At 43.9% G+C, this 20098-nt stretch overlaps 1 protein-coding gene across 28 annotated transcripts in view, besides 2 other annotated features; it reads right to left on the bottom strand.

The window, feature by feature from the left end:
• Positions 1-20098, bottom strand: part of ADARB1 (adenosine deaminase RNA specific B1) — a 151986-nt gene that overhangs the window by 7903 nt on the left and 123985 nt on the right. For 26 of the 28 annotated variants that reach the window (NR_027673.1, NR_073200.2, NR_027674.2 and 23 more), the window contains one exon: positions 13925-14106. Coding sequence is in view for 18 of the 28 variants with exons in the window: in XM_017028251.2 (XP_016883740.1) it covers positions 13925-14106 (182 nt within the window). In the remaining 10 variants the exon portion in view is untranslated. Of the gene's footprint in view, positions 1-11272; positions 11365-12908; positions 13002-13924; positions 14107-20098 lie in introns of all 28 variants that reach the window. The other 2 variants (XR_001754792.3, XR_001754791.3) reach the window with 2 other exon arrangements.
• Positions 11202-11701: an enhancer, noted in NCBI's record as "H3K4me1 hESC enhancer chr21:46626875-46627374 (GRCh37/hg19 assembly coordinates)". NCBI's record gives its function as "activates a minimal SCP1, AML or CMV promoter by ChIP-STARR-seq in naive H9 embryonic stem cells {active_cell/tissue: H9 hESC(naive)}" and the evidence as "EXISTENCE:reporter gene assay evidence [ECO:0000049][PMID:30033119]".
• Positions 15217-15834: an enhancer, noted in NCBI's record as "H3K27ac-H3K4me1 hESC enhancer chr21:46622742-46623359 (GRCh37/hg19 assembly coordinates)". NCBI's record gives its function as "activates a minimal SCP1, AML or CMV promoter by ChIP-STARR-seq in naive H9 embryonic stem cells {active_cell/tissue: H9 hESC(naive)}" and the evidence as "EXISTENCE:reporter gene assay evidence [ECO:0000049][PMID:30033119]".

Raw genomic sequence — 20098 nt, 5'->3', positions numbered from 1 at the left:
GGAACCCAGGCAGAGTGTAGCAGATCCCCTGAATTGAGAGTCAAGGGAAACCAAGTCAGCCAGATTTCATAAGACAGAGTACCGGAAGGAAGAGACATGCAGACAGAGTGAGCCCTGGAGATACGCAGAGGGTGTCCTTGAATATCCTGCGGAGCACTGATCAGAGTAGGCATGTTACTCAATCAAGGCTGGGAAACAGCCTCCTGAGAGAATGGAAAAGTGCCTGACATTCACATATAGAAGATACAGACATAAAGATATAAAAAGGCCTAAGCCAAATTTCTAGAGAGGAAAACTACAATGTATTAGATAAAAAATACACTTGATGGGACTAACCACAGAATAGAAACCGCAGAAGAAAAGATTAGTGAACTTAAAGACACAGTAACAGAAACTACCAAAAATGAAACACAAAGAGAGAAAAAAAGAACAGAAAATCAGTGATATGGGGCAGGTTTAGGTAGGGTGAAATATGTGTAATTAGATTTCATGACGGTGAGGAGAGAGAAGGGGGAACGGAAAATATATCTGAAGAAAGATGAATAAAAAATTTCCAAATTTCATGAAACCAACAAACCCATGGATTAAAGAATTTCAATGAATCCCAAGCACAAGAAACATGAATAAAACTATATACCAAAGCACAACAGAACAAATTGTTCAACACTAGTATTAAGAGAAAATCTTAAGCAAACCCAGAGCAAAAAACACACAGAGGAATAAAGATAACAACACATTTCTTACTGGAAACAACGCAAACAACAAGTCAGGGAAGCAATGTCTTTAAAGTGCTTAAAGGAGAAAAAGGACCCTGCCATTCCAGCAGAAATATATTTGTACAGCAAAATATACTTCAAAATGAAAGCAAAATACTTTCCCAGACATACCAAAGCTGAAATAATTCATCATCAGAAGACTTGTGCTACAAGGAATGTAAAAGGAAGTCCTCCAGCCAGAAGAAAAAATGATACCAAAATGGAAATCCAGATCTATACAAAGAATGAAGAGCCCTGGAAATGATAGCTACATGGATAAATATACAAGAGGTTTTTTTCTTATTATTTAAATTCCTTTAAAAGATAATTATTAAGATGAAAATAATAAGATGTGGATTTTTTTAACACATGCAAAAGTGTCTGAAAACAATACCACAAAGGTTGGGAATGGAAAAACGAAAGTATCCTGTTGTAAGGTTCTTTTACTATATGTGAAGTAGTATAATATCACTTGAAGGGAGATCGTGGTAAGAATGCATACTATAAACCCTAAAAACCACCACCAAATTAACAAAAGTTACAGCTCAAAAGTCAAGAAGGAGTCAAAATGGAATCATCAAACACACCCAATTAAGGCAAAAGCAGTAAGAAAATGAGGAAAAAGTGAACAAAGAACATATGAAACACGTAGAAAATAAGTAGCAAGATGAAATTTAAACCTAATAATATCAATAATCACAATAAATGTAAATGGTCTAAGTACCTCAGTGAAAAGGCAGAGATTGTCCATGGTGGGAGAGAGAAGCAAGATCCAAACATATAAATATATATAAATATATGTCTATAAGAAACATATTTTTAAGATAAAGTACTTTAATATAAAGGGATAGAAGATACACTGTGCTAACACTAATCAAAAGAAAGTTGAGGAGGTTATATTAATCTCAAAACAAATTTCAGAACAAACACTATTACCAGAAATAAAGAGGGTCATCATATAATGGTAAAGGAGGTCGGTTTATTAAGATAAACCAACAATCCTACATTTTTATGCATCTAATCACAGAGCTACAAAATACAGGAAGTAAAAACTCTAAAAAAGGGGAAGAAATAGATAATGTACAATTATAACTAAGAGATTTTCAATCCTGCCTCTCAATAACTGATAGACCAAGTAGAAGATCGGTAAGAATATAAAAGAAAATAAATAGTATAATCAAACAACTTGGCCTAATCAACATTTACAGATCACTCTACCCCAAAGTGGCAGATTCACATTCTTTCAAGTTTTGTGGAACACTTATAAAGATAGATCATATTCTGGTCCATAAAACCAAGTCTAATAAATTTAAAAGGACTGAAGTCATTAAATGAAACTAAAAAACCAACAACAGAAAGATCTCTGTAAAATCCCTAGTATTTTGAAACTAAATAGCAGACTTCTAAATAACCCAAGGGACAAAGTATTTTAATATAAGTGAAAATGAAAACATATCATAATTTTTAAATGCTACAAAAGCAGTAAAAAGGGTCTTAAAACAATGACCTCAACTAGCACCTTAAAAAACTACAAAAAGATGGGCAATTGAAACACCAGGTAAGCGGAAAAAAAAGAAATAATTAAAATCAGAGTAAAAATTATTGAAATATAAAACAAAAGACAAAAATCACTGAACCTAAAAGTTGGCACTTAGAGACAAACAGAATTGAAAAACTTCCAGCTAGACTGATCAGAAAAAAACAACCAAGAGAAGATACAAATCATCAATATAAGGGATAAGACGATATCATTAGAGATATCACAGATATTAAAATGAATATTCTGAATGCTTTTATGCCAATATATTAGACAAATTAGATGAAATGGACAAATTCCCTGAAAGACAAATTACTGAAGCTTACTCAAGAAAAAAGATAAAAACAGATAACATGAATAGCCCTAAATCTATTATAGAAAAATAAATTGTAGTTAGAATTTTCTTACAAAGCAAACTTCAGGCCCAATGGTTTCACTGGTGAATTTAACCATATATTTAAAGAAATAATACCAAATCCAAACAAACTCTTCCAGAAAACTGAAGAGAAAGAAATGCACCCCAACTCATTTTATGCCTGACAAAGACATTAAACTAAAATGATAGCCCAATATCCCTACAGACAAATATAAATACAAAAATTCTAAATGAAATTTTAGCAAACTGAATCCAACAATATATAAAAAGAATAGCACATAATAACCATATAACGTTTATCCCAAGATGCAAAGTTGGTTTAATTTTTTTTTAACGTCACCACTAGCAAACTGAAAAATGAACTAAATGCTCATCTCATTTTTTGTTGTTGTTGTTTCAGATGGGGTCTCACTACATTGCCCAGGATGGCCTCAAACTCCAGGGCTCAAGTGATCCTCCTGCCTTAGTTCCCAAGTAGCTGGGACTATAGGCCTAAGTCACTGCAATGACAACAGTCATCTAAGAGCAGAAAAAAAGCATCAGACAAAATCCAGCATACATTCTTGATTAAAAACGCTGAGTAAGCTATAAATAGAAAAAAAAAATGTCTTGAGCTGATAAAGACATCTGTAAAAAACCTACAGCAGCCAGATATGGTGGATCATTCCTATAATCTCAGCACTTTGGGAGACTGAGGCAGGCGGGTTGCTTGAGGCCAGGAGTTCAAGACCAATCTGGGCAACATAGGAAGACATTGTCTCTATAAAAAATTTAAAAATGAACCAGGCATGGTGGCATGCACCTGTAGTCCCAGCTACTCAGGAGGCTGAGACAGGAGGATCACTTGGGCCCAGGAGTTTCAGGTTACAATGAGCTATGATCACGTTACTGCACTCCAGCCTGGGTGAAAGAGTGAGACCTTGTCTCTAAAACAAAAAACAGCAATAAAAAATCCTACAGCCAACATCATACCTAATGGTGAAAGACTGAATGTGTTCCCCCAAGATGACATGTAAGAGAAGGATGTCTGCTGTCATCACTTCTACTCAACATTGTACTGGAGGTCCTAACCAGTGCAATAAGGATGTAGAACTGATGAGTGGACTATAAAATTGCTATGGAAATACAAAAAGGACCTAAGCAGCCAAGACAACTTTGAAAAAGTACAAAGTTGGAAGACTAACTCTACCTGACCTCAAAACTTATAATAAAACTATAGTAATCATGACAATGTAATACTGGCCTTTAGACAAAGAGATTAAAGGCAAACAACAGAGTCCAGAAACAGACCCACATGTATATATACATGCCAGCTGATTTTTGACAAGGGCACAAGGCAATTCCATGAAGAAATGAGGAACCTTTCACTAAATGGTGCTAAATCAACTGGATATCTTACATGCCAAAAAATGAACTTCAGTTCATCCTTCATACCCTACACAAACATGAACTCAAGTGAAATATAGTCTTAAATGTAAAAACTGCAACTGTAAAATTTCCAAGAATATAAGAAGAAATCTTTGTAGTACTGACTTAGGCAAATATTTCTTAGACATAATATCAAAAGCATGATCCATCAAAGAAAATTTCTATAAATTAGATTTTGTCAAAATTAAAATTATGTGGTTTGCGTAAGACACTATGAAGAGAATTAAAAGACAAGCCACTGATTGGGAGAAAGCATTTTTCAAATCATATATCTGATAAAGGATCTGTATCTAGAAAATATAAATAACTCTCAAAACCCAGTAATAAGATGTTAAACAACTCAGTAAAAATGTGCATAAGTTTTGAACAGTTTATTGAAGAAGGCACAGGGATGGCAAATCAGCATGTGAAAGGGCATTCAACTTCATTAGTCATCAGAGCAATGCAAATTAAAAGCACAATGGAATATCACTAAACACCTGCTAAAATTTCTAAAGCAACCGCTCGTACTGCGTGCCGGCATATAAGTGACAGAACTACAACTCCCGCACACTAGTGGTGGTAATGTGAAAATGGTACAACCATTTTGGAAAACAGGTTAATAGTTTTCTAAAAAGTTCAACATACACCTATCTTAGGATTCAGCCATTCCACTCCTAGGTATCTACTAAAGAGAAATGGAAGTAAGCGCCCAAAGATTTGTACAGAAATGTTCTCAGCAGCTTTATAATATTAAAAGACTGGAGACAACCTAAATATCCATCAATATTTCAAGGGAAAAACAAATTGTGGTTTATCCACCCAGTGCAATGCTACTTAGCAATGAAAAGGAATGAACTATGGATAAACCCAACAACATAGATCAATCTCCAAGTGATTAAACTGAGTGAAATAAGCTAGACCAAAACGGTGCAAACCTTATGATGACATTTATGTAAAATCCCAGAAAATGCAAACTCATCTATATAGACAGATGGTACATACTGGGGATGGGAATGGGGATCGGGGAGAGGGAGGGATTATGAAGGAGTACTAAGACAATTTTGAAGTGGATTAAGTATACTCATTATCTTTATTGTGGTGATGGTTGCACAGACCTAAACATAGGCCAAAATGTATCAAATTGTATACTTTAAATATGCAGTTTATCATATGCCAATTATACCTCAATAAAGTTGTGAAAAGACACTAAAGATAATTTAAAAATAAAAAAAATTGTTCTCATTAAAAAAATAACATTTGCTCACTATGGACAATTCCAAAAATTCACACAAACCTTAGAAAATTAAAGCTATAAAACCCAGAGACAGCCAATATATATTTTGTAGTTCTTAAGCAGATATGTTCAGTAGAATCAGATATGAAGCTTTAAACAATAAGCACATTGAATCCTACCTCTGAGATTCTGATTGGGTAGGTTTTGGGCAGCACCCTGGCCACTGTCTCATAATTCTGCCTTTCTGTTCCAAGTTATCTGAGACTTATCTGACTTCACCATCCCCCTGCCCTCATCAGAGCAAAAGCTCCATGAGGAAGAGGTTTTGTTTGTCCTGTGCACTGCAAAATCCCAACACCCAGAACCATGCCCACTGCACACTCAAAAAATACTGAATATTTTCTAGACCTTCAAATTAATATTTGATTTCAGCACTTACTAAATAACATACTAATAAGATTTATCATTACTTATTTCTCTTGTTTTCTAAATTGTTTCTTTCAGTTGTTCTGTTTTCTCATATAGATCTTTCTCTTTTGTGTTATTTTCCTCATAAGTTTGATAATCCAAGTTTGTAAGTAAAATACTTTTATTCAATACAAGTAGCTGGCATGGTTTCTTCTGCTTGTTTCTTTGATGTGCATTCAATTCTGCAGAAGGTCTGAAGGAAAACAATCAGCCAAGATCATGTCCTCATGCCAAGAACTCAGAGCTCCAACACCGTCCTTCCCTGGTTGTCGGGGTGGTCAGGTGTGCCCTAACCACACACAGGGCTGGGCTGGCCTCATCACAGGCACTGGTAGGAGCCTCATGTCTTCCTGAGGTCACTGTTCCTGCATTTACTGATTGCTGCTGGGGTGGTTTTTACCACACGCTCAGGTTTCTCCTGTGGCACAGTTTTGCCAGTGGAACTGAGGTCATCCATCTTACCAGCACACCTGCCCTACCTCCAGCACCTGCCTGCATGTTCTGAGTTCCTGCAGGTCCCTGAGCTGTCACTCTGTAGAGGCGGCAGCCCCAGGAGCATGTTCAAGGTCACACCCTTCAAGCAGACAGAATCAGGAAGGATTTCTTTTGTGGGGGAATGGCTAGAAGAGAGGGTGTCCATTTAAACTGCTGGGGAATCTCTGACCATAATGGAATTGAATCTTTCATAAACAAATGGATAACGCTTATATTATCTTCCTTTGCAATTCCACTACTTCTCATCAAAATAAAGGATTACTGTTGAATGATACTTAAACCTTAGAATTACAATATTTTTCACTAAAACTAAATGATTAACAAAAAATATAAGATCCCAATAGTACAAAATATTTTTTATATTTTAAGTTAAATCAAGTCCCATCTTGAAACAAAAATGGAGGAAACAAGGAAAAAAGAAAATAGCCCGAGCTTCCAATACTAACCATACGCTTTTTCTGGGGCAGAAAGCCCCTAAATGGTCATAAGCGCATACGTCTACGAGTCCCTGAGGCCAGTGCAGTGTGGGGGCTGACGTGAGTGAGATGCTTATCTTTCCAGCCTGCAAAGAGGGAACTAGGGTAATGAGTTAATCCCAGGCCGCGGTACAGAAACCAATAAAAGCAAGAACAACTTGGCTGGTAACGAGAATCCCTCTGTTGTTGTAAATTAAGTGTGCTGAATCAGAACTTTTAAAGCAAAAACACAGAGAAACTGTGAATTGGCCTAATAACTGCTACAATTAAAAAACTCAGAAGAGCTGGCATTGATGTTTTTTCTTATTTCTACCCTAAAGGTATTTTCCAATAGGTTCCTCATACAGTAGGGTAATCAAAAATGAATAATATACATAATGATTAATGGATATTTTAGGGTTATTATGGGTTCATGTTATAGAAACTATCAGACATTCATTAGTGGATCAAGGAAAATGTGTACTTACAATCTCGACTGAAAGTGGCCTTTATTCTGCAAATAAGAAAGAGTCAAGACCTGGGCATAAGTTACAGTATAAGGAAAACTGTGCACAGCACCCCCAGTGAGGATGATACAGGCCATGCAACACAGGAGGGAGCCTCTGAGCCCCTCTGGGTCCAAAACCAACCTGCCATTTAAGCTGAGAGCAGAGCACCTTTGAGCCTTTCATTGTGATCGTCTTAAGGGCAGCCCTTGAGCTGACAGAGAAATAAACACAAGCCATTAGAATCCGTACAGAGCAAGATGGCTGGGTTCTCCTGACCCTTCCAGCCCACTCCCCAGGGCTGCTCTCAGGCTTTCTCTGCCAGCTCGGAAGTGCCTTGTCCTGGTTGTCCACTAACCCCAGCCAGGTGCTGAGGGCTTTACACAGAGGACCTCTGGCCACATAACAGTCCTTTCTCAAAGGAGACCTCAGGGTTTTAGAACACCAGCTGTGGAAGGAGCCTCAGAGCTGTGGTCCTGAGTGAGGTGGGCTCATGTCCAGAGAGCTGCATGGGCAGGAGATGCTAACTGGATGTAGATGAAGGGGAGCAGCCGGGGGAGTGGGGCTGAGAGGCTCACAGTGATCCTGCCAGCTCCTCCTTTTCCTGAAGCAGCTCCTGGGGGAGCCCCAAGGCACTCTCGTGCACTGTCTTCGTCCATGGGAGGCAAGGCTTGGGGTGGTGAAAGGTGGGATGTGGGTTCAAGCTGTACTTGTCCTAGGGACAGTGGAATATGGCTGTGAGCTGCAAGCCTCGTGGTGTCTGCCGGCTGCGGCTGCTTCCACTGTGAAGGGTGACGGCAGGCCCGGCCCACAGGGCTGCGGCGTGGATTCAGGGAAGCATGTAAGAATCTGGCTCCTGACTTGAGCACATGCATGCCCGGGAGATGGCCTGAGGACGGCAGTCAGTGAAGTGTAACTATTATTATTTTTAAAAACCTTCAAAAGTGTCATTGATACAATAGGTAATGGTAACTGTACTGTAGCATTACAGTCATCTGCACAGAGAATTTAAAAACAAGCAAACTGCACTCCGTAGGATCTCGAGTTTAGAAGACACCTGGAGATCACGTGGGTTAATCCTTTCAGCCAGATCCCCTATCACCGTGTCCGTAACAACAGTGTCCATCCAATTCCAACCTGAACTCTTCCAGTCAGGGGAGCTCAATTCCTTTCAGGAAACTTTTCTAGACAGTTCCAATCACTAGAAAGTTGTTCTCTCAGTATGCAAAAGGAGAACTGAAAACCCAACAGACATGAGGAACCCCAAATGCAGCCACTGAAAACCCAACAGAGATGACGAGCCCCAAATGGAGTCACTCTCCCAGAAAGGAGAACTAGAGCAAGAGACGGAGCCGTGTGGCGGCCGTGGTGCAGGGAAGTGGGCCAGGCATGAGCTCCCGGGGAGCCTGCTCCGCGGGGAAAACAGTTCACTCCTGAGATGGTGACAGAAGTCAGGCATTCTCTTAGAATGCAGTACAGTCAAAAAAGCACATCAGATGAGAGGAGAGACACTGGTCACAGGCCTGTGAGTTCTGCTCAGCAGCATTTTCAGGGACAACAGAGAGGGCAGAGAAGATGCTTCTAGCAGAAGTGACAGGACAGAAGGAAACTTCTCAGAAGTGAAGACTCAACAATCCAGATCAGAGGGTTCAGGGTAGTAAGTAGGAAAGAAACTCAAACAAACTAACCACACACCTAGGCTTAATCTGTTGAAATTCCTGAATTTTAGGGAAAATAGATAAATGTAACGCTACAGGAGAGAAAACAAGGAGGTACCTTCTAGAAAGGAAAGAAACTCAAACTGGCTCTGTGACAAAGGGTGACCATGGAGGGGTGGCATGGAGGTCTTGACGTGTCCTTGGGGTAGGGCAGAGCCCAGACATCCACAGTCCCCAGTCCACCTGGCACACAGGCAAGGGCCAGGTAACATCAAGATCCAGGGCCCCACCCACACAGGACTTTTCTCCAAAAACCAAACAAAAACAACCAACCAAGAAATCACCCTGTCACCCCAATTAAGGATATATTCCAGCAAAGTGAAAAATAAATCTGGATGTGGAGTTAAGGGCAGGAGCACTGGCTACAGAAAACTGGTTAGAAGAGAAACCAGGAGCTCTTACGGCTTCATCTAAACAATTGTTGATCATGAGGCTATGTGACTCATTACGAAAGGCTTTTAAAAAAAAAGCACGATAAAATGAGTTTCTAAAACTCAAGATGATGTCATCAGAATCTAGGAAGATGAGGATGGGAAGAGTGTGGAATAAAAATGAGCCCAATATTTCAGCTTTTCCCAAGTTTGGATCTTTACAAATATTAATTCTTGATGCCAACATTTTTTCAAAGTGATTTAAACATATTTGTTTTAAAAAATTGGGGTAACCACTGGTCAGAATAGAAATAAGATTTAGAACTTCCCACCAGTCGGAAGAAAGGGGAAAGACAATTTAATCGGTCCAGCAAAAGCAAAGGGGAGGAAAACAGAAAGTAAAATGGAAAGAAAAATTGTCAGATGAAAAGAATGATTCTGTACTTGGAGCCAAGCTTGGTGGTCGTTCTCTTCTACAATGACTCATGGCACGTTCACTCCTCCTAGAAACCAGGGCAAGGAGGAAACTCACATTACTGACACCTCTTTCCCACAACCCCGGTGCCTGCTCTTACCTGGAGAATACGCATACACACACACACACACTCTCTCTCTCATACACTCATGTGAGCGTGCACACACACATGCACACACACTCATACACACACGCACTCATGCACACACTCACATGCACTCACACACACACACACGCACACATACACACACACACTTTCCACACTCTCACAGTGATGTTCCTTCTCTCTCACTCCAGCCAGGGCCTCATTAAACCAGCTTCCCTTGCTCTTCCTGCCCATAATGTCAAATGGTCTCGGGTGGATAGCAGCTCAGCAGGCACCTGCCTTCTTCCTGCCACACACCTGGGCCTGCTGCCAGCCCCCTTGGGTCCCTGTGCTGTCCTCCCAGAGATACCTAAATGCAAGCTCTTCACAAGGACCCTACCCCATCATGTAGCCTTGTTTGTTAACGTTTCGTGCCAACATTCAACATGAAAACCAGCAGGATAGGAAGCCTTGTCTGCAAACCCCGGAGCAGGCTGTCTGTCAACAAGGTCCCCAGAGCCATCGCATGCGGCATTTGGGCACCCTGCTCCTTCTTCTTGGTTTATCTTAGTGAGCGTTGGACAACAAACTGGGCCAGCTGAGGAGCTCACACTCAGGAGATCAATGGACATAAATAAGAAGCTGGAATTGTCCTGAAACTTGCAAGTGCTGGATGTGAAACTCATTTGAGAGAAAGTCTGAGAAAGCTCGAGAGACTTCCTCTTCCACAGTGCTAAGCAAGGGTACCAAGTGTGTATACCCACAAAGGCAAAAGTGTCACAGCTTGGCACCAAGAACCTTTCTGAAAGTAAAACTAGTGTTCAGGCTGAAATGAAAATTAAATTCTTCTCACTTTAATCCTGACAGCATTATCTTTTTAAAAGAAAGCAACACCCTATCCCTACATTTTTACTTTGATTTGCTCCCAGTTTCAGGTAATCTTTTCTTTGTATTCATTTATGTCCATTTTTGTTCCTCCCTAAAGACACTACAATTCACTAGGCGCTGTCATACCGCGCTCTCTTTTTAACACGGGAATGACCTTTATAATAAAATGTGAGGTGACAAAGTGTAACAAACACGACGTGAGCTGTGATGCACAGTGCAGGTGCACAGCAAGGGGGCCAATGTCCTGGTAGCTCCTCTGTCCAGGTCACTTGTCAAATGTAAGACTTTTCTTTTAATGAAGTTTTGAGAGCTTTGCTTTGGGACCCATTTTTAAAGAGTGTGACCTCCCAAATCTATTAAGACATCAACATTTGCCTCTCCAGATTTTTCTTGTTTGGTTCCTTTTGTCTCCAGTAACACCCACAGCATTACTTGCCTTCGGCTTCAATTCTGAAGCAGAAGCCTCTGCCCTCCCATCCTGCTCCACCCTGTGGCTCACCTAATGTCCTGCTACGCTGTCCTGCTGATTCACAGGAGTCCTCGTCTAAAGGTGTCTTCTCCAAAGCTACTTGCTTTGCTGATCTGAACTCTCTTCAGGGAAACAACAACAAAAACCCATTTCCAAAATAAAGCATTTACCAAAAATAAGATATTTCAAATAGTTTGCATTTTGAAATAGACTTTGGTGCTAGAGTGACATTGTTTATTGGCTCAGATTTGAGTTAAGGTTCTGCCTCCTGGAGCTTGAGTGGTGTCCTTTTATTTTCATAGGACAGTGGCACATTTGTCCAGAAGGATTGCAAGGGGTGCCTGGTCCATCCCTGCCACTGGGCGTATGAAGAACCCGAGACACAGAAGCTTCCAAGGAGGCAGAGCTGACGCAGGGGCAGCCTCATGGCTCCAACCCAGGCTCTCTCTGCTGCTGCTGAATCAGCTCGGCACAGCCCCCTGCAGCGGGGACCAGGGGAGGGGTTTGGTAATGTGCTTTAGGCTATCAAGATTAGAGATAACGGAGGCCAGGCACGGTGGCTCACGCCTGTAATCCTAGCACTTTGAGAGGCTGAGGTGGACAGATCACCTGAGGTCAGGAATTCAAGACCAGCCTGGTCAACATGGTGAAACCCCGTCTCTACTAAAAATACAAAAATTAGCTGGCTGTGGTGGCACACGCCTGTAATCCCAGCTACTTGGGAGGCTGAGGCAGGACAATTGCTTGAACCTGGGAAGTGGAGGCTGCAGTGAGCCAAGATCACGCCACTGCACTCCAGCCTGGGCAATAGAGCAAGACTCTGTCTCAAAAAAAAAAAAAAAAAAAAAAAAAAAAAAAGACCAGAGAAGATATTGAGGAGGAAAGGATAAACAGCAGCATCAGTAACTTTGAAGTCTCTATCTTGCAGACACTATCTTTCAAGGTCTTTTAACAGATATAGATGCTTTTCACATAAGTGAAATATGATAAAAATACACTGACTTTTATAAATGAGCTCTACTTTCAATATCTTAGAAAATTTCTTTAGCAAAATGATTCTGTCTTTGCAGATTTTAGTTACGGATGAGATATTGCTTAGACAGCGCTATTCAACAAGGCCCTAATTAACAACTATTTTTGAGTATCACCTATGTGTCCCATATTCCACATGCAATGTTTTAAGTATCTATGCATATAAAAGATGAGTGACAGCTAAAATTAAAGCACTCTTTGCTCAAGTACAGAAGACAGAGAGCAAAGAGGGAAATTTTCTGAATCATGAGAAATTCACACACCAATACACAACAAAATACTTCAAAAGACATTGATGCTACAATTTCAACCTACCTACCATCAAGTTTTATCTATTTTGTTTTTCTTAAAACACAATGGTTAAGTTACGGAACTGTAAAATTTAATTAAAGACAACTGTTTTTCCCCATCCCTGCCTCCTTCATGTGCTCTGACAGGCATGCTTTCAAATAAAATTCCACACTGCTTTTTCTCAAATTAAAGGCGTGCTAGTTGCCAGGCACTAGAAAACAAGGCAGCACAAACACAAGCACACACACACCCCAAAATAAACGTGTTTCAGGTTAGGATTATGGTTTTAGTTTTGAGCTTTTAAAAAAGTAGTGAAATTATATGTTTAAAAAGATAAAAATACCTTAACTGTGTCCTTTTAAATAAAGGTGAGCTTAGAAGTTAGGACCTTTGAATTCAAAAGCTCCTGTTCACTTTACTGTTAGCCACTGAAATTCTAAAAAAAGAAAAAAGAAAACCAGCAATGAAGGGAATCGAGGGTAGGTGCAGACACCAGGGAGACAGCCTCTGCCTGCCATTGGCACCCCTGGTTCCACCTGTCACCATCTCTCGGAGCCAACAGGGCCTCTCCAGGGAGCCCAGGGCAGGCTCTAGGCAGCTCACCGCTGTGGACACCCTGGTGGCTCTAAGACAGCGTAAACGTCCCGGAGACCTGGCTCAGGGTTAGTCTGGGAAAGCCAATGCTGACATAATTTTCAGTGTCTGTTGAGTCTCTGCTGCTGAGACAGGAATGAATACAGTGCCTGAGTGAGAGGAAAACAGACAGGTGCCCAGCCCAGTCATAATTTCATTCTTTTCATTTTTCATTTCTTTCTTTCTTTCTTTCTTTCTTTTAAAGACAGGGTCTCACTCTGTTGTCCAGGCTGGAGTGCAGTGGTACAATCTTGGCTTACTGCAACCTTGACCTCCTGGGCTCAGGTGATCCTCCCACCTCAGCCTCCCAAGTAGCTGGGACCACAGGCATGCCCCACCTCATCTGGCTGATTTTTTTGTATTTTTTGTAGAGATGGGGTTTTGCCATTTTTCTCAGGCTGGTCTTGAACTTCTGGGCTCAAGCAATCCACTAGGCCTTGGCCTCCCAAAGTGTTGGGATGACAGGTGTGAACCCATCAATTCTTCTATGAATGGCTAGGTTTGTGATTGGTAAAGGAGATTAATCTTACAGAGAGACTCACTTAAAAGGCCCTAGAGACAAGGCCCGGAGAGCCTCAGAAACATCACCTTGGGTCTCTTTAGAAGGACTCTGATGTTCTTTTGATAGCCACAGAGCAGCTCAGGTGGTGTTTTTTTCATTCATGAGGATGAAAACATTGCAAAATCAAGACAGAGATTAAATCAGCACACTCTAGAGATACTTGCCACTGAGCAAAGGCTTGTTGAGGGTGTAGAGAGGTGGCAGGTCCTCTATGTTGGAGATCCGCTGGTACATGGCCCTGGAAAGGTGGTCCCCGTGGTAAAGGCTGCCCAGGATGATGCTCGAGAAGTAAATGGGCTCCACGAAAATGCTGAGCAGGGATCCCTGGATGCCCACCACGTTCCAGCTGGAGGGAGAAGAAAGCACAGTCTTCAGGGAGCTCGGACTCAGTGTCGACGCAGCCCAGCCCAAGCCTGCGTGGTTACAGGGATGCACTGGCAATTCCGCAGGATCCCAACCAACTGACGAAGGAGTGCAACAAAAAGTTAACAGACTGATTTAGCAGCTTACGATCACAAAGACAAAAATCTACTTAAAAGTTATTTTACACTGTGTTTGTTTTTACCATTACGTTTTCCCACAATCAATGAGCCACATATGTTTCTTGTGAGAAATCTGTGGGAAATATCAGAAAGGAAATTACATATTTAATTATAGCAGGTCCCCTTATCTGAGGTTTCACTTTCAGAGGTTTCAGTTACTCACTGTCAACCGTGATCTGAAGATATTAAATGAAAAATTCCAGAAATAAACACTTCCAGACTTTCAACTGTATGCCGTTCTGAGGAGTGTGGTGCGATCTTGTGCTGTCCAGCCCGGGATGTGAACCATCCACGTTGCAGATGCCGCTGGCCCATTAGCAGTCGCCTTGGTGATAAGATTGATGGCCACAGCATCACTGTGCTTGTGTTCAAGTCACTCTTATTTTATTATTAGTGACTGTTAATTTCTTACTGTGTCTAATCATAAATTAAACTTTATATAGGAAGGTACTTACAGGAAAAATACCAGCACGTACAGGGTTCAGTACTATCTACAGTTTCAGGAGTCTACTGGGGGTCTTGAGACACATCTACGGAGAAGCGGGGACCACTATACTTCTTAAAAAAGGACAGCTCTTCAAGAGGTCCTTCAAAACATTAAACTGCTTATTTCCTGTTCTCTGCAAGTGACAATGGCACTGAATGCACAGGCAGGTAGGGTGTGGGGATTTACAGCGACTGCACGTGTGCAGCTGACATGCATGACACCAATGATGCATGCCAATGGCAACTTAGGTATTCATTATCAGCTCCAACACACACATGCCTTCACAATATGCCTGTTCTCTCTTTCTGAGCCCCACAAAGAGCAGAGATGCTCTGCTCAGCCTGGGAGTTGCTGTGTCTGGAGCACCCTTTGCTGGGCGCTACATACACAGGGTGTGAAGTACCTGGGGGGAGATACAGCTCAGGAGCTAAACAATAATGCAATAAAAAGACAAATGAAGAACTATAAATTGAGGTAAAATCAATTTGGGAGAAAGGGCGGGGTTCTGTGAAAAAGAAAAAGGGGTGTATGTACTTGAAGGAATGCTCCTGGGGTGACCCTGAAGCTTAGCCCCAAAGGAGGGGGCTGTGAGGCTGAGGGAGGAACGCATGTCCCAGCCTGGGGGGCAGGGGACACAGGACAGCAGCAAGGGCAGCCAGGGCAGAGGGGCAGGGCAGGGGCCCCTAAGCAGCCAGGAGCTTGATGAGGGAGGGGGCGGTATTCAGATGGCAGAGAGAGGCCTCTGGAGTGGCCCAATCTAATTTCATGGAGTGTCTCAGGGGAGGGGCTGGCGCATGCGCATTTTACGAAGTGGCGTCAGCAGTGTGGCACGCGCTGCAGGGTTACACGCTCAGCAGTGTGGCACACGCTGCAGGGGAAGACGCTCAGCACAGTGTGGCACAGGCTGCAAGGGAAGACGCTCAGCACAGTGTGGCACGCGCTGCAGGGTTAGACGCTCAGCACAGTGTGGCATGCGCTTCAGGGGAAGACGCTCAGCACAGTGTGGCACAGGCTGCAGGGGAAGACGCTCAGCACAGTGTGGCACAGGCTGCAGGGGAAGATGCTCAGCACAGTGTGGCACGCGCTGCAGGGTTAGACGCTCAGCACAGTGTGGCACGCACTGCAGGGGAAGATGCTCAGCACACGCTGCAGGGGAAGACGCTCAGCAGTACAGGTCAGAAATGAAGGTCGACTGGGCAGTGTGGGGACAGGGAGGCCAGGGCAGATGAGAAACATTCGGGCTTAGATCTGCGGATGTGGCAGGACTTGAGACTGGAGGAGGCTGACGCCCAGACTGGAACCAGCCTCCATATATCCCCCCTCTGTCACTCACTCCGTGGCACAGCCTCTGCCTGACAATGCCCACAGTTGTATTTGGAGGCCTGAAGTCTCAGGGCCACTCCATGCCCCCTCAAGAACCTAGCAGGGCAGAGCTGGCAAGTGGGGTAGGCAGCACATGACAAACAGCCGCCAACCTCACCTGTTTACGCCTCATTCTGGATATGCCCCAGCACTGACCTCCAGCTGCTCAGTCCCCACTCTGGGGTCACCCTCACCCTGCTCATCCCTGTCACAGCAGTCATCAGCAGATCACCTGGGATCCACTTTTGGAAGAGATATAGGACCTGACTTCTGGCCACTGCCACTGCTACGCCATGGGTCAAGTCATGCCCCCCTGCCTGTGTCATGACGCCCTCTCCTAAGGGGAACCCGGTGCCTGCCCCAAGCCCTCTCCTCTTGACCCCTGTGAACACGTGGGCCAGCACAGGCCATTCCCTGGCACAAAACAGTCCAGTGGCTCCCAAGAAAATGCCAGCAGTCCTCCGGCCAGATCCCCCAGCCCTGTCACCTCTCACCCTGCACCTGTCCCCAAGCTTCTGGCCACCCTCAGGGACCTCCTTGCTGCTTGCCCAAAGCTTCTGTCCACAGGTCCACCAGCTGGAACACCAATCCCAGAGGCAGCCATGGCTGCCCCCACTTTAGGTCCCTGTACAAAAGCCGTTCTGAGGGAGGCCTCCCTTCCCAGCCACTCAAGCCTTTTGCTTACCTGCTGCCTGAGGTCTCCCTTCCCTGCCGCCCAAGCCCTCCAACCCCATTCTGACTTCCACATAATTTACAGATCCATGTTGGACTCTCTGCTCCCATCCTACCCCAGTGCAGGAAGAGGTTTCTGTCTGCTTTCTTTACTGACCTATCCCAGCACTTACAATATGTACCTGGCACATACAGAAGATCAATAAATATGTGTCGAATGGACAAATCCTCCAATTCCTATGACACATTCCTTCCACCTTCCAAAATGGAAATGAAAATGAAGGTTTCCCTAACTTACAGAAAAAGCATGAAATGATTCAATACCTCTAAGAAACACAGGCCCCTTTCTTCTACAGATTAGAAGCCTCTATGGACTCAGCATCTTTAAGCTGAATTAGGTCTTCTGGGCAAACTTTAAAGCAGTGATCCTGCAGAAACCTTCATTTGTTAGGAGTCATTAATTCTGAACGTATGCTTTGAAAGAGAATTCCAAGAGTGTCTACAGCTCTGCAGAGGCCCTGGGTGGGAAATGGTGTGGCACCAGCTTCCACTAATGCACCTCACAAAGGACAGCTGGGACAAACTTCATCAGGATGAAATCGCCTAGCGCCAGCGAGAGGGTGTCAGACACAGTCAGCGTCCATGCAAATAAAACAAGTAAAGCTCTGCCAAGACTGCAGGCAGGACGTCTCCTAGAGATACCCACTACATGTCCACAGCCACCTGTCCTGCGGACCCCATGGGAGGTGCCCACTCACAGCGTGCCATGAAGTGTGTTTGGCTGACACCCAAGGAACCTACAGGTGTCCCCACTCTCACAGCATGGCCTCGGCTCAGTGCACCCGGGTCTAGGCATCTGTGCCTGGCCTTCTTCGTCTTTCATTTTCCTTGTGCCATTTCTTTAGGAACAGAGTCCAGACTGCTATCATCTGATCTGTCCCCTGATTCAGTAAAGGGCCCGGCCTGAGAGACTGAGCTGCAGACAGACGTCGGCCAGACCACACAGGGCAGGAGAACTACTCTGACCCAAACCACAGCCTCCACAGCACTCGGCCCAGTCAGCCAGGCTTTCAGGAAGGACTACAGCTTCCTAGTGGTTGCCCCACGCCCATTCCTTCCTGCTTTCAACCCAGGACCAGCCAGAGATGCCCCTGGGTTCTTCAAGCAGCTGCACGGGAGGCCACCTTCTGCAGAGCCCATCTTGGCTTCCCCTACCTCCATCAGAACATACCCAAAGCCTCCCCCTTTCCCTACAATAAAGCCATCCCCCTTCCTGTGCGTGCCTTTGAGTCTGCCCAACACAGTGCTCTGGCCCCCTTGCCATAGCCGACTCTGAATAGACAGGCTGCTGGTCCTCCTCTGGATGGTCTTGTTTGTTCCCACAGCTCTGTGCAGCTGAGGACACAGGCCGAGGTCATCTGAACCAAGACTCTCGTTCCTTCCCACGGCTCCCGCGCCAACATAATCACCGTGGGGTGGCCAACCCCATGGGAGCCTCTCACCCCATGGTCTTGTGGACAACTCTCTGGGGCTGCATTCACCGCCAAACTGCCTGCCAGTGGGATGGACACCCTGGTGACCTCCAATGGCAGTGCTGTGGCTCCCACCCCACCCCCAACCTACCATGGCCCTGGGCCCTCTGCCTGTCACTGTGTCCTGTGTAAGGGGAACAGTTCAGCCTCACCCAGCCCCATCCACCTGGCCCTCCAAGGTGGCTGCTCCCCACTCTCAACTCTCCCAGAGCAGGGACACAGCTGCAGCCAACTGGCATCATTTTGGCCACCAGGGCTCTTTCCGGGCAACTTTTCTGGCCATTTGCTATTTCTTGGCCCACCCATGCTAGGTTCTATCAGCTTGTGTTTGTTTCTTCCTTGAGGTAAAGTCTAATTACTATATAATAAAAGGCTTGGATCTGAAGGGTTCAGGTCCATGAGCCCCGACTCCTGCATTTATGTGTGTGACATCCCCACGCCCCAGCAAGGATCCTCCAAATGGATGGCTTTGTGCTATGCAGGTGCAGGAGTCAGCCTGTAACCAAGTCGAATCCTTTGTTGGTCACATGAGACATCAGAAATCTCTTCCCAATATGTGGCTTTTCTTTTCCAAATATGTGGGTTATAGTAAATAATTCCTGAAATTTTAATTTAGTCAAATTTATTCACTTTTCTTTATAATTGGGGTTTTCTGTGCCTTACTGAAGAACCCTGCAACTGCCAGGCACTGCTCTGCATACTCAGGTCCTTAACTGTCCTAGCATGTGCTTTGGATAGTGTATGGTGGGCTGCTTCTCTGCACAGACAGCCTGTTTCTCCAGGACTGGTCGTTGGCTACTTTGTCCATGTCTTCTGCGAGCACCACGTCTAGCACAGACTGCTGGCTGCAGCCCTGCCTTTCTTCCCTTCCTCCTGCATGACAGAGCCCCAGTCCTCTTCCAGGTGGCTGAGTGTGTAAGCCCGGCCACCCCAGCTGCCCCATAGCGAGTGGAGCCCTGTGCCTGAGCTCTGGATGATGAGCTGAGCTGGCTGAAGTGTCCCTGTGCCTGGAATTCAGACTGGGTACTCAGGGATTTCGTCAGCTCTAGGGATTATGAAGACCCTGAACTCAGAAGAGACCTCTTAGATGGTGCGGGACAAAGAGGGATCAGGCTCCAGACCATGGAGCCACCAGAGCTTCTCTGGGCCACCTATTTTTGGACTTAATTTTCTGTGAGAGAGACAAGCCTCCATCTAGTTTACATTTTCTTTTAAACACAGGCAGGCCTGATCACCAGTGCTGCCCCATGGGTCTGCAGGTCTTTTCAGATTGTATGTTGTGCCACTGTTCTGCCGAAAATTACCACTCACTTTTGATTACTATGGTTTTATATTGTTAGTTTTCTATTGCCATGTTGGGATTCAACTTTTAAGTACTATGAAAAAATAAGATTTTTATTAAAATCACATTGAAATGATAGATTTAAGAGGAATTAATGAAGCTTTAAAAAATATAAAATAGAATTTGGCTTGCTAAATTTTTAAAGATAATGTAAGTGTATAAATGTGTATTTCCATGACATGTTGTTGTTTTGTTTTCCTTTACTGTCCTTGTCTGGTGTGGAGATAAAGGTTGTAGTAACCTTTGAGTTATGAGCCACACAATGAGCTGCAGAATTCTTCCCTACTTTTCTATCCTTGGAAAATATTACATAAAATGGGGATCATCATCCCACAAACGATGTCTAGAACTCACTCAATGTTGTCTGGGCCAACCACTTCCCCTCTCTCCACAGACTCTCC

This window comes from Homo sapiens, chromosome 21 (assembly GCF_000001405.40).
Source record: "Homo sapiens chromosome 21, GRCh38.p14 Primary Assembly".
Lineage (NCBI taxonomy): Eukaryota > Metazoa > Chordata > Mammalia > Primates > Hominidae > Homo > Homo sapiens.
The sequence above is the reverse complement of the archived record's forward strand: the minus strand, read 5'-3'. Positions and strand labels throughout refer to the sequence as shown.